Below are 14,132 nucleotides of genomic sequence, written 5' to 3' on the forward strand. Positions count from 1 at the left end.
TCATCTGAGTCAAAGATTATGGAAAGGTCAATAAAAACTGCGAGCGCTCTTAGGTTTTTCTTATCAGATTGCTCCACAAAATTGATAAAGACTTTAATAATGATCAGTGGTGAAATAGCTGGGCCTCTAGAACCTTGTGTAGAACATTGGCCCAAGAGTCCCGGAACTCACATTTTATCAGTCAGGAAGTGGCATGTATTTTAGATGCACCACCTAGTAAATTAGGAGGAGAGTTAAAAAATTACCCTTGGGAAAAATGTGGCAGATCAAACTCTGCTCCAATCAATAAGGAAAATTTTCTCATTAAAAATACCACCAAAGGCCAGGCACAGTGGCTCATGCTTGTAATCCCAGCACTTTAGGAGGCTGAGATGAGAGGATCACTTGAGCCCAGGAGTTCAAGACCAGCCTAGGAAACCCTGTCTCTACAAAAAAAAAAAAAAAATTTAATTAGCCGTGTATGGTAGTGCACATATGTGGTCCTAGCTACTAGGAAGGCTGAGATGGGAGGATTGCTTGAGCCCAGGAAGTCATGACTGCAGTGAGCTGTGATCACACCACTAGACTCCAGCCTGGGCAGTGAGACCCTGTCTCAAAAAAAGACAAAACAAGCTGGGTGCAGTGGCTCACACCTGTAATCCCAGCACTTTTGGAGGCTGAGGCGGGTGGATCACCTGAGGTCAGGAGTTCAAGACCAGCCTGATGGGGTGAAACCCCATCTCTACTAAAAATACAAAAATTAGCCAGGCATAGTGGTGCGTGCCTGTAGTCCCAGCTACTCAGGAGGCTGAGGCAGGAGAATTGCTTGAACCCGGGAGGCGGAGGTTGCAGTGACCCAAGATTGAGCTGCTGCACTCCAGCCTGGGCAACAGAGTGAGACTCCATCTCCAAAAAAAAAAAAAAAAAAAAAGCACCAAGCTGGGTGTTGTGGCTTGCACCTATAATCTCAGATACTAAGGAGGCCGAGGCAGGAGTATCACTTGAGGCCAGGAGTTCGAGACAAGCCTGGGCAACATTGTGAGATCCTCATCTCTAAAACACAAAAAGAAAAATACCACCAAGAAGGGATTTTCCCTGTCTGCTCACAAAACCAGGTGATTATTCAGCCTTTATTTCAAGAGTTCTGTGGGAATAGTGTATATGCACCAGAAGCCCTATGTAATAAAGTGGCACATGACTAAAGAGTGAAAGTGGAAAGTAATAACATTAATAAAACATAAGCTCATCTTCATTAACCTCCCAAGAGGGCAACAGGAGAGGTACAGGTGGGTACCAACTGTCTGTTAGGGCAAAACCCTAAAATGCCTGATTGACTACAACTGCATGGACAGATAGACCTTCCATCTTCACAGAGGGCCTGTCAGCTGGTGCAAAAGAAGCACCTGCCCTTTTAACCTCATCTCAAATGACCATGGCAAGGGCAATACGCTAGAGCTTAGAAGCCTGGTGGGCTAGGCAGCAAGTGTGACAGCAACAAAGTACAGGCTTCTGAAGGACTGGTCCCAGGTCTTCCAGAAGCAGAGAAGGGACTTCCCATTGTCCCCTCCCCTTAAGGTCCACACAGCCCACCTCTGGCTGACCTTACATTCAAGTAGATATGGAATCTTATCGCAGCACTAAAATGACAGCGTTTCTTCTGTCCAGCTTGTACAAACGGAATACTCAACCAGAGACCAAATCACTCAGTTCTCAGAACACCTGAAGATTTTTTTTAAAATTGTTAAAAATCAGAGCTATTTATTAGAAGCAATCTGTGGGTGATAATAAATCTGCTTTTAGAGTTTTATTTAGCTAGATTTTTTATTGTGCTAAATAATAGAAGGTTACTGCCAGCACCATCTCTGATCAGTCTGCAAACTTAGAGCGGTCAGCCTCTGCTTGCAAACTGAAAAGTTAGTTTCCTAGACAGCACCTGTGGTCTGAACTTCAGTACTTCTCCAAGGAAAATCTTACCAGGAAAACTCTGCCCCAGAATCTGTCTATTAACAGAGCTGATAACCAAGCTCTTTCAAGGTAATAATATGTTTATATTGAGTTTTATACTTTCCATGTTCCGAGGTGGCCATTTTCATTGCATATGTCATCCCACTAACGTGGCTACACTTATTTGTTTGTTGATGCCTGACAGTTCACGTCAGTCAAATTGCCTGCCCCTCTCAGGTGGAACGCTCTCCACTCCCAGAGATGTGGGATTTAACAGAGAGACACTAGTTGGACATTGTTTGAAGTTTTATTTTTATTTTTATTTTTTTTTTTGAGACAGAGTCTCGCTCTGTCGCCCAGGCTGGAGTGCAGTGGCGCGATCTCGGCTCACTGCAAGCTCCACCTCCTGGGTTCACGCCATTCTCCTGCCTCAGCCTCCCGAGTAGCTGGGACTACAGGTGCCTGCCACCACGCCCAGCTAATTTTTCCTATTTTTAGTAGAGATGGGGTTTCGCCGTGTTAGCCAGGATGGTCTCGATCTCCTGACCTCGTGATCTGCCCGCCTCGGCCTCCCAAAGTGTTGGGATTACAGGCGTGAGCCTCCATGCCTGACGTTGAAGTTTTAGATTTTTATTTAAATTTTATGTTGATTTAGGATCATAATTCCCATTTATTAATATTATTTATGTTCTGATTCTTTATATCTAGTATATTAGGCTTGTGTCACCCAAGCATGTGATCAATATAACCCTTCATTCAAGTCACAAATAAAAATCTTTTAACTGTGATGGTAGATTTATTGATGGAATATAAGATGAGAATTGAATATATTGTTGCAGACCTATTTACTGTCATAATAAGATATCAATAATACACTGAAGACCGAATAAAAAGTCATTGAATATTATGCGTTTTTTATTCATTGTTGTTACAAATGTGTTTGAACATAAACATACAAAAAGGCCTGCAAGGAGATGCACCCCCCGCAAAAAAAATATCAGTATATATCTCTTAGTGGTCAGGCTACCAGTAATTATTTGCTTTCTTTTTAATTCCTATACCTATCTTCTTTTTTTGTTGCTGTCAAGACACAGTCTTGCTCTGTTGCCCAGGCTGGAGTGCAGTGGTGCGATCTTGGCTCACTGCAACCTGCACCTCCCGGGTTCAAGCGATTTTCATGCCTCAGCCTCCCGAGTAGCTGGGACATGCACCACTACTCCAGGCTAATTTTTTATATTTTTAGTAGAGACAGGTTTTGCCATGTTGGCCAGGCTGGTCTCGAACTTCCAGCCTCAAATGATCCACCTGCCTCGACCTCCCAAAGTGTTGTGATTACAGCCATGAGCCACCACGCCTGGCTCTTGTACCTATCTTCTAAAAAATAATGTAATTGACATGCAGTTGTTTTATAAACAGAGAACATGAAAAAGGATTCTGTATTTTAAAAAAATTCAAAAGAAAAAATATCAAAGAGAGTCCTGTGGTCTCTAAAGAACTTCCAGGTCTGAAAGACTGGTTTCAGATTGCCATGTTGCACAGAATTACTGGAAAAGATTTTTAAAAACATCTCCCCTGGGAGAGTCACCAGGTGATACTGATGTTGTCAGTCCCTGGCCAGCTAGAGGACACAGCCATGTAATTTAGCTATTGACACATCTAACTCCTCTGCCTCTTACTAAATATGGGACCTCAGGTTACTTGAATTTAATAAAAAAATTTTGTTTCTCCTGAGCGGCAACGTGGAATAGTAACATGAAGGATGGTAGTGAGGCTTAAATGGGGTAATGCCGAATCCAGTGCCTGGCACAAAGTAAAGCCTAGTAAGTGATACGTTGGTCTCCATAGCATCTAGCCCATGGTTCTCAACCTTATCCATAGGTGATTCCATACCACACGTCTTCCTTCTTCTCCCTTTGCAGCATATTCTAGACCAAGAGGAAGTAAAGAAAGCAATGGCTTAGTATGGCTGTTACTGTTGCTGCCCATTTGTGGAAATCATTGTTTCGAATGCTCTCTGCATAAAGTGATAACCCCCGATAAATAACTTATATTTTCACCCTTTTTTTTTTAAACCCTTTGCTGGTTTTCTTGTGGCTTTCCCATTATGGTGGAAATCCCCCTTAGAATTCAGGTAAGCCTGGAAGTTCATTCAAGAAACATTTGCAGTTGTGCCTGAAGCGGTCGGCTAGGGATTGATATGATCTTCATTCCCCAAAGAACTTGAAGCCAAGTGGAAAAGACAAATCAGTAAAATACCAGTTTCCACATCATAACATGTTAGAGGAATTTTTGTTGTTTTGAATATCTCACTTGCTGGGAGAGAGTAAAAGGGTAAACTTTATTTTTAAAATTCCTTTTTCAAATAGAGCAGGATATTTAAAAAGCAATTCTTATGGGGGAGTTACCAATTTTGTATAGAATATGGTTCAAACCACTTCAGAAGGGCTGAGATCAAAGAGCCTTAATCTTGAAGAGGTCACAGAGCTATGAGGCATTGTTCTTGGGGTAGCAAGCTTGGCAGCTCCTCGGGGGATCGGCTAAGCTGATACACACCCCTGCTCCTCCCATCCCTTCTCCATGTGTGCTGTACCACTTCCACACTTATGCCCCCAGAGTTGGGTGGCAGTGTGAGCAATGGAAAATTCCTTTGACCCCAGAACTGAGCTGTGAAGGTCATGCCACGGGGTGCATCTTTCCAAAATAGAACCAATGGATCTCAGCTCAGCTTCACTTTCTTTCTCTAAAGTCCAAGATACGTTCAGTAGCCCCATAATCTCCTCTGTCTTGAAGGGCTGCAGGGAGAATGGTTAGAATAGTCATTTTCCATGCAGAAGACTGGCCATCTGCTAAACTTGTAGACATCAAGATAATATCCTTTTATCTATCCCCCTAATCTTACCCTCCCTTTAAAAAACTATCCTAAACATATTATTTCATCCAAGGTATTTCTAATGATTTTGTTTCTGTGGGAATAGTGTATACGCATGAGGAACCCTATGTATTATAGTTTCAGGTGATTGAAGAGTGAAAGTAGAAAGTTGTAAAGTGCATATAAGTTATGGTTTCAGGTTTGTCATGAATTATTTTAATTTAACATGTGATCTGTAGTTATCTATGCAATATGATCATTTGTAACTCACATGATTGTAACTCACATGACAATGACTAAGGCAAAGATAAAATTTTTGTAGGCAAGGGCAGTTAACTATGCAATTTTGAAGCTTGTAATGTATTAGATTTTACTATTTTATTATTATTTCAGTTCTGATTCCCTTTCTTCTTCTTTTGGCTTATGGTTTGTGACCATTAGATGGCACTGTGCATCTCAAATATGGAAAGCACTTGGCATTCAAATGCTAGGCTATGCAGAAGAAAGTAACGTGCATTAGTTAATATTTTCATGCTATGGTTTCAATCAGGGTAGAAACATTTTATTTTTCATATAAAATTTGCCAATGTTACAGTTTATTAAGGAGAAATCCAGAATGTAATTCCACAGTCTTATGAAACTTACCTTGCATACAGAAACTATTCCTTTCTGTGTGACACAAGAATAATCCCTCTCAAACTTAGACTTGGGCCTGGGGCTCCTGAGTCAAATGAGAGAATACAGTTCCTTCACCTCCACTTCAGAGCATTATGCTGCTGATTTTCTAAGAATGTTGGTGAACTCATATTTGTCTGCTGCAGTGGTCTCCAACCTTTTTGGCACTAGGAACTGGTTTCATGGAAAACCATTTTTTCATGGAAGGGGAGGAGATGCTTTCAGGATGAAACTGTTCTACCTCACATAATTAGATATTAGATTCTCATAAGGAATGTGTGACCTAGATCCCTTAAATCCGCTGTTCAGGATAGGGTTTGTGCTCCTGTGAGAATGTAGTGCTGCCACTGATCTGACGGGAAGTGGAGTTCAGGGGGTAATGCTGGCTTGCCCGCCACTCACCTCCTGCTATGTGGCTGGGTTCCTAACCGGCCACAGGACTGTTAACTGTTCGTGGCCTGGGGGTTGGGGACCCCTGGTCTAGTGTGTTCTGTCATTTGTAGGTCCTTATCACCAGAAGCATTTGCTTACAAATAGGACGCAAATTCATTTACAAATTACAAATCATCTGAGGTGCTAGTCTTAACTCTAGAAAAGAATAAAATTAATTGGCTTTCAATCCCAGGAGCTAGCTTTTTTACTCTCATCTTTAATCAGCTAATGGAAGATGATGTTACTGACATTTCATCCCCAGACTTTGTCCCCTACATAGCACAGCCCTTGATACACCAACAATCTCTTTGTTCCCCTTAATCTCCAGCCTTCTCTCCTACTGTACAACCCCTTCACTCCAGAGCTCTGCCTGAGGCCTTGTGTCCTCTCCTTCTACAACTCCCCTGAGCAGTCTCACCTGTGCCCAGGACTCCAGTTCCTTGATGGTGTTAACGTTTCCCAGTCTGTATCTTCAGTCCATGCAGCCACTTCTTCCACTTGGATGTCTTCAGGCACTTCTAAACTTAACTCATCCAAAATAGTGCTCACTATGCCCAACTTCAAACTTAGTGTTCCCTCTCTCAGGGAATGCCGCCGTCATCAGTGACATGCCCCATGCAGAGATCTGAGTCAGGATCAACCTTCTCTTGCTCTCATCCCTCAACTTACCCAGGGATGAGGGGAAGAGCCAGGATTTGGAACCAGGAAGTGCAGCTCCACATCACGATCCCTAATCTACAACATGATAGAGAAAACAAATAAGATACATATTCATTTACAAATTACAAATTATCTGAGGTGCTAGCCTTAACTCTAGAAATGTGAAACAGATTTTCATTATTTTAATTGAGGATACTAGTATCTATTTAATAAAACTTTGTCATGTGGCCCTGTTTCAGTACGTAGATATCTGAGAGTAAGAGGGTAGTTTTTTTGTTTTTGTTTTTGTTTTTACCAAAACTCTTTTTTTCCTGCTTTTTACTGTTACCAGCGGTGAATCCCTCTGGGTCTGCAGCAACCTCAATTCTTGCCTCCTCAGAAGAAAGAATTTGACCAAGGGGCATAAAGCAGAAAGATAGTGCAAGGCAAGTTTTAGAGGAGGAGTGAAAGTTTATTAAAAAGCTTTATAGCAAGAATGAAAGGAAGTACACTTGGAAGAAGGCCAAGTGGGCGACCTGAGAGATCACGTGCATGGTTTTACCTTTTGACTTGGGGTTTTATATGTTGGCATGCTTCTGGGGTCTGGTGTCACTTCTCCCTTGATTCTTCCCTTGGGTTGGGCTGAGATAAAAGCACTATCTTATGTTCAAAGATCACATAATGTAGGGTAAAGGAGAATAACTTCATTTACACCATGAGAACACAGTGTATAGGTGCCGTAAGGGACATGTGTACTGGTGGACATGGGTACAGGGAGGGAGAATTTAAATCCTCATGGTGGTTCCAGAAAGATTACACTGAAGAAGGGTCTGCATGTGCAATGGCCAGCCAGTGCCTGGGAGGGGCTGCATGCTCAGTGTGTTTATTGGAGTTGTATGCATGCTCACCTGAGGCGTTCTTACCTTACCAGTCAAAAGTTCCTAGAAGGTCATATATACCAGTTAAAGTCTGCCATGTTGCCTCCTAATGCACATGCTTGAGCCCACTCGCCCAACTCCTGAGATCTTATCGGGAAGCTGCGGATCACAACTTTCAGGTTTTTTCTACTGGGAGACTGCCTTCCCCTGGGGCCACCTGTGACCAATTATTATTTTAGAGAAACAGTGTAACAACCACCTGACCATCACTTGATGTTGGCCTGACATTCCTGGTGGGGCAGGAGGAGCCCTCTTCTGCCCTGCTCATACCTGATTAGCTATCTACTGTAATAGTACCACAGCATCCTTGTCTCAAAACCTTGCAGTAAACTTGCAACCTTTTGCCTTTCAGGTTTTCAACTCTACTTTCATCTCCCATGAGACCTTTTTTTGAGACAAGCAAAGCCTCTCAGTTCAGCTTATATATTTTTGAATACACCCTCCCAACCTAAAATCAAACTAGAGCTCTGCAATTAGAACATAGCTACAGAAGTTAACAAACTGTATTGTTATTTGATATAAGAAAATGTGATCATAAACCTATGCATTATTATAAAACCTATTTTAAAATAAACATTTCAAAGGACAAATAACATTTTTCATCAGTTTGAATACTGTCTCACCTTTTGGGAAGTAATTCCATTGCAAAGATCCTTTCCCCATATGTAAGTTTTTCTTTCTCTTATAATCCAAAGCCTGTGAGTGTATGTCCAAAGTCTCATTTCTCTACTTCACTTTATCTCATAATATAGTTTTCCTTTCTCTTTTCTATTTTTCATTTAATATTGAACTGGAGCATTTTTGAGCATTTCATTCAGTATCTGCTATCTAATCTTTTTGTTTTGTTGTGTGTTTTCTTTCTCGGGTTTTGGAATACTTCTGTAGGATATGTTTTCTTAGATAACATGTAACAGGAAGGGAATCAAATTCAAAGGAAAAAATGTTTAAATCATCTTCTCAAGACCAATAGTATATTCTGACTGAAAGAATCTCCATATGACTATCATTCAAGCACTTGATGAAACAGAATTTATTGAGCACCTGCTAAGCCTGGCAATATGACAGGCACTGGGAAAATGAGATAAAAGCACAGTCTTATGTTCAAAGATCACAATGTGGGGTAGAGGAGAATAACTATATTTAGACCATCAGAACACAGTATACAGGTGCTGTAAGGGAGATGTATACTGGGAGACAAGGGAACAGAGGGAGAATTTAAATCGTCATTGATATAGGAGTTAAAGAGAAATATTTAGGCAGATAGTGAGGGTAAGGAAGTCCTTGGTAAGGTTTTCCTTTTAATGAAAAGTAGCCCCCAAATCCTTCCTTTTCTAACAAAAGCAGGCTGAAAAATCGAGCTGCAGACTGATAAGCAAGCTGCAAGCTTGCACGGGTGAATGGCTGGCAGCTGTGACAATAGGAAAAGGCTACCTGGGGGCTAGGCATGTTCAGCATGGCAGTTCCATCTTCCCTTTTGTCAACCTTGTGAATGGTAAAGAACAGAAAACGTGGCACTGGCAAGGTAGAAAATCCATTTGCAGAATAAAAGATTAGGGTGGGGTGGTCAGCTTCTTCTCCTGTTATGTAAACATCACACCTGGTCCAACCGATCTTTGGGCCCTATGTAAATCAGACACCACCTCCTCAAGCCAGTCTATAAAACCTGTGTACTTCACCATGGGACCGGAAGACCCACTCAGGCGCCCCGCTCTCTCTGCAGGAGAGAGATTCTCTTTTCTCTTTCTTTCGCCTATTAAACTTCTGCTCTTAAATCCACTTCTCGTGTGTCCATGTCCTCGATTTCCTGGCTGAGAGAAGGAACCTCAGGTATTTACCCCAGACAATGACTCTACTTCATCATGGTGGTTCCAGAAAAATTACACTGAAGAAGGTTCACAAGCTAAATCTGGAAGGATGAATCAGTACAGTCATTATTATCATCACTGAAATAAATATGATTGGGTTTGAACTTTGGAACTTTTATTCAGAAGGAAAATAAACATTTTTCAAATAAAGTTGTAGGATATGTTTTGCATTTTAGCATATATCGTACCTAAGATATCTCAGGGGACTTTTTTACTTCAATTATATTTAAGATTTAAAATGTCAGAATGTTTCACATTTTGTGTTTATGTCATAGTTTTTGGCATGCAACTTATATGCTCAAGGTAACGTGTGCATACAGTGAAATGTACACATCTGTTCAGGCACTGAGGCTCATGCCTATAATCCCAAAACTTTGGGAGGCTAAGGCAGGAGGATTGCTTGAGCTCAGGAATTGGAGACCAGCCTGGTCAACATGGTGAGACCTTCTCTCTACAAAAAATACAAAATTAGCTGGGTGTGGTAGTGTGTGCCTGTAGTCCCAGCTACTCAGGAGGCTGAGGTGGGAGGATCACTGGAGTCTGGGAGTTCAAGGCTGCAGTGAGCTGTGATTGCACCATTGCATTCCAGCCTTGGTGACAGAATGAGATCCTGTCTGAAAAAGAAGTACATATCTTAAAGGCAAAATTTTATGGATTTACCAAATGATACACCCTTGTAACTACCACAAAAAGTTTATGATATAGAATTTTTTTCATCATTCCCAAGAGTTCTCTCATGTTCTCTTTCAGTTGACATTCTACATAGGCAACCACTGACCTAGTTTCTATCACTACAGAGTTTTCCCTGTTCTATTTCTTTAACAGAGACAGGGCTATTCAGATTTTCTGTTTCTTCTTGTGTCAGATTTTTACATGTTGTATTTTTCAAGAAATGTGTCCAATTTATCTAAGTTGTTGAATTTATTGGCATAATGTTATGCACAATATTTCCTTATTATTCTATTAATAACTATGTGATCTGTGGCATAAAATGTAAGCAAATACTTACCATAAATCCTGCCTTAAGCAAATTATAGGCTGTGAAGCATATAGCATTCTTGCCTTTCCCAGAGGGGTCCACTTCAGTTGTTTTACACAGTCCTTCTGAAGCAGGACTTACATGCCTTTCTTTATGGCATATAAGCCCTGGGTCCGGGTTGGGGGAAAGTGTGGGGATCCACCATCTCATCTCATGGCTGCCCTAGACATGGCTTCTGTTCCTAAGTTCCTATTAAAGGTTTCTTTCTGAGAAAACGGATTTGTCAGCCTCTTTCTTCAACATCTCAGCTACCTTAATTTTGGGGGGTAGGTTTGCATAGACCTGCTGTCTATGGAACATCCACAAATTTTGATTTTTAAAATTATTATTCAGGCTAAAATATCTTTTAAATTTACTGTGATTTCTTCTTTAACTCAGTTATTTAGAACTATGTTGTGGGACTTCCAAATATTTGGGAGTTTTAAGATATCTTATTGTTATTGATTTCTAATTTCATTCTGTTATGTTTAGAGAGCATATTCTGTATTTTTCAATCCTTTGAAATTTATTAAGCCACATTTTATATTTCAGCACGAGATCTATCTTGGTAACTAGTCCATGTGCACTTGAAAATCGTTGTTTATTCTGCAGATACTAGGTGAAGTATTCTCTATTTATCAATTAGGTTAAGTTGGTTGATAGTGTTCAAATCATTTATATTCACATATCTATGTCTAGTTCTACAAAGTACATGTAGGTGAATTAAAAATGTTCAACTGTGATTACAGATTTGTATATTTGTTCCTTCAATTTTTTTTTTTTTTTTTTGAGACAGGGTCTCACTCTGTCATCCAGGCTGGAGTGCAGTGGCATGATCTGATCACAGCTCATTGCAGCCTTGACCTCCTGAGTTCAAACAATCCTCCTGCCCCAGCCTCTCGAGTAGCTACAGATGCTACAGCTACAGATGTCTATCACCATGCCCACCTAATTTTAAAATTTTTTTGTAGAGACAGGATCTCACTATGTTGCCCAGGCTAGTCTCGAACTCCTGGGCTTGAGCATTCCTCCCACCTTGGCCTCCCAAAGTTCTGGGATTATAGGCATGAGCCACTGTGCTGGGCCTGTTCCTTTAATTTTCATATCTTGCTTCTTATACTTGAAGCTTTTTAGTCACATAAACATTTATATTTTTTATGTCTTCATGATGAAATGACCATTTTTCATTAAGGAATGTCACTCTTCAACTTTGATAATTCTTTTTGACTTGAAGTTTGTTTTGTATAATAATAGTATATCAATACCAGGTTTCTTAGATTTGCTTGGTCTATGTTTTCCCTTCCTTTTACTTTCAACCTATCTGGATCTTTAAAATGCATTGCATCTCATGCCAAAGCTCTTACTTGAATCTTGCTTTTTATTCATCCTTGCAATCTTTTTCTTTTCTTTGGACTGTTTAGTTCATTTATATTTAATATAATTATTGATTTGGTAGGATTTAAGTCTATCACCTTGCTATTTGTTTTCTGCTTGTCTCATTTTTTGTTTGTTTCTCATTTCCTCCTTCATGGCTTTATTTTGGTTTATACAATATTCTTAGTATTCTAATTCATTTATTGATTTTAAAGTTATATGTCTGTATTTTTTTTTTTTTATGGTTGCTATAGGGCAGCATTCTCCAACTAAATGTTCTTTAGTAGTGAAAATGTTCTATGTCTTTCCAATATGGTAGACACTGGCTACCTGTGACTGTTGATACCTTGAAATATGGCTAGTACAACTGAAGACTGAAATTTAAATTTTATTTATTTTTAATTAATTTAAGTTTAAATTTAGTCACTTGTGGCTACTGACTACCATAGTAGTCAGCACAACCTTAACAGTCTGTTTAGAGTTAATATTATACTACTTCATGTGAAATGTAAGAATCTTACAATAGTACAATTTTGTTAACTCTGTCCTTTTTTTCTTTCTCCAAAAGCATTGCTTAAAATAAACACACACACACACACACAAACAAAACCCTCTGTCCTTTTTTGTTATTGCTGTCATGTATTTTACTTCTACATGAATTGAGAGTCCTACAATATATTTGTCTTTAAATAGTCTGTTTTAAAAAAATGAGAAGAAAAAAGTTCTTTATATTTACACGTCTACTTACCATTTCTGGTGCTATTTATTACTTTCTGTAGTTTAGATTTCCCTGTGCTATCATTTTCCATCACCACCGCCCCCAATTCTTCTATTAGTATTTAATATAGTTTACAATGAATCCTCCCAGCATTTGTTTATCAGAAAATGTCTTTTTTGTTTTCATTTTTGAGAAAATGTTAGAATTCTGGCCAGGTGTGGTGGCTCACACTTGTAATCCCAGCACTTTGGAAGGCTAAGGCAGGAGGATTGCTTGAACCCAGGAGTTCAAGAACAGTTTGGGCAACGTAGCTGAGACCCCATCTCTAAAAAAAAAAAAAATTAGTTGGACATAGTGGCATACACTCGTAGTCCTAGCTAATTGGGAGGCTGAGGTGAGAGGATCACTTGAGCTTAGGAGGTTGAGGCTGCAGTGAGCTGTGACTGCATCACTTCACTCCAGTCTAGGCGACTGAGCCAAACAAGGTCTTAAAAAAAAAAAAAAGCTGGGTTGCTCTATTCTTTCAGTACTTTAATGGCATCATTCCATTTCTTTTGGCCTCCACTGTTTCTAGTAAGAAGTCAACTGTGATTCATAGCATTGTTCCCCTTATGTCATTGACTTTTTTTTCTGTTTCAACATTTATTCTATATTTTTGGTTTTTAACCTTTTGACTACAGTGTAGCTGGTGTGTTTTCTTTCTTTATTTTATTTTTTGTATTTATTCTGCTTGGAGTTTGTTGATTCTTCAATCTGTAGGCTGATGTTTTTCACCAAATTAGAGAATTTTTTTAAAAATTTCACTCTACCCCATTTTCTTTTTCCTTTCTTTTACTGAGACTCTAATTATTATTATCTTTTACTTTAGAGATAGGGTCTCACTCTGTCCAGCACGGGCTGGAGCACAGTGGTACAATCAGAGCTCACTGCAGCCTTTACTTCAAGGCTTAAGTGATCCTCCCACCTCAGCCTCCCAAGTAGCTAGGACTATAGACATGTGCCACCATGCCCAGCTTTTTTTTTTTTTTGGTAGAGATGGGGGTCTCACTGTGTTGCTCAGGCTGGTCTTGAACTCCTGCCTCAGCCTCCCAAAGTGTTGGGATTACAGGTATGAGCCACCATGCTTAGCCTTAGGACTCCAATTATATATATACTAACTTTGCAGGGTTGTTCCAGAGTTCACTGAGGCTGTTTATATATTTTTTCCAATCTTTTCCTTTCTGTTATTAAATTATATAATTTCTATTGCTCTCTGTTAGAGATAATTCACCCATCCTTTTGCCATCTCCAAACTGCTCTAACCATCGAATAAATTTTACATTTCAGATATTTGCTTTTTATTTCTAATATATCCATTTGGTTTATTTCTTTGCTGATCATTCTCATCTGTTTAATCACATATTCATCTTTTCCCATGCATCCTTACATATATTTATAATAGCTGTTTTAAAGACCTCATCTGCTAATTCCAACATTTGGGTCATCTTGGATTCTGCTTCTATTGACCATGTCTTATTTTGATTATGAGTCACATATTTCTGCTTCTTTACAGGTACAATATTTTTTAACCTCCTGTTGAATATTGTTATAAAGGAGTTACAGAGAGTCTGGATTATGTTATCTTCTTTTAAATGGTGTTGAGGTTTATTCTATCAGGCTATTAAACTACTAAAAAATCCTC

General features: G+C 39.6%; 1 protein-coding gene and 1 long non-coding RNA gene across 7 annotated transcripts in view; one reads left to right on the forward strand and one right to left on the reverse strand.

Annotated features, from left to right (window-relative positions):
- The window catches only part of PRKCH (protein kinase C eta), a 363,509-nt gene that overhangs the window by 104,415 nt on the left and 244,962 nt on the right, over window positions 1–14,132 (forward strand). The window lies entirely within an intron of this gene.
- The window catches only part of PRKCH-AS1 (PRKCH antisense RNA 1), a 28,119-nt gene continuing 16,804 nt past the window's right edge, over window positions 2,818–14,132 (reverse strand). For 2 of the 6 annotated variants that reach the window (NR_186039.1, NR_186037.1), the window contains 2 exons: window positions 6,318–6,634; window positions 2,818–3,848 (listed from right to left, as the gene is read on the reverse strand). This is a non-coding gene — a long non-coding RNA (PRKCH antisense RNA 1). Of the gene's footprint in view, window positions 4,716–6,317; window positions 6,635–7,461; window positions 7,634–8,907; window positions 9,383–14,132 lie in introns of all 6 variants that reach the window. The other 4 variants (NR_186040.1, NR_186038.1, NR_186041.1 and 1 more) reach the window with 3 other exon arrangements.

Source organism: Homo sapiens, chromosome 14 (genome assembly GCF_000001405.40).
Source record: "Homo sapiens chromosome 14, GRCh38.p14 Primary Assembly".
NCBI classification, from domain to species: Eukaryota; Metazoa; Chordata; class Mammalia; order Primates; family Hominidae; genus Homo; species Homo sapiens.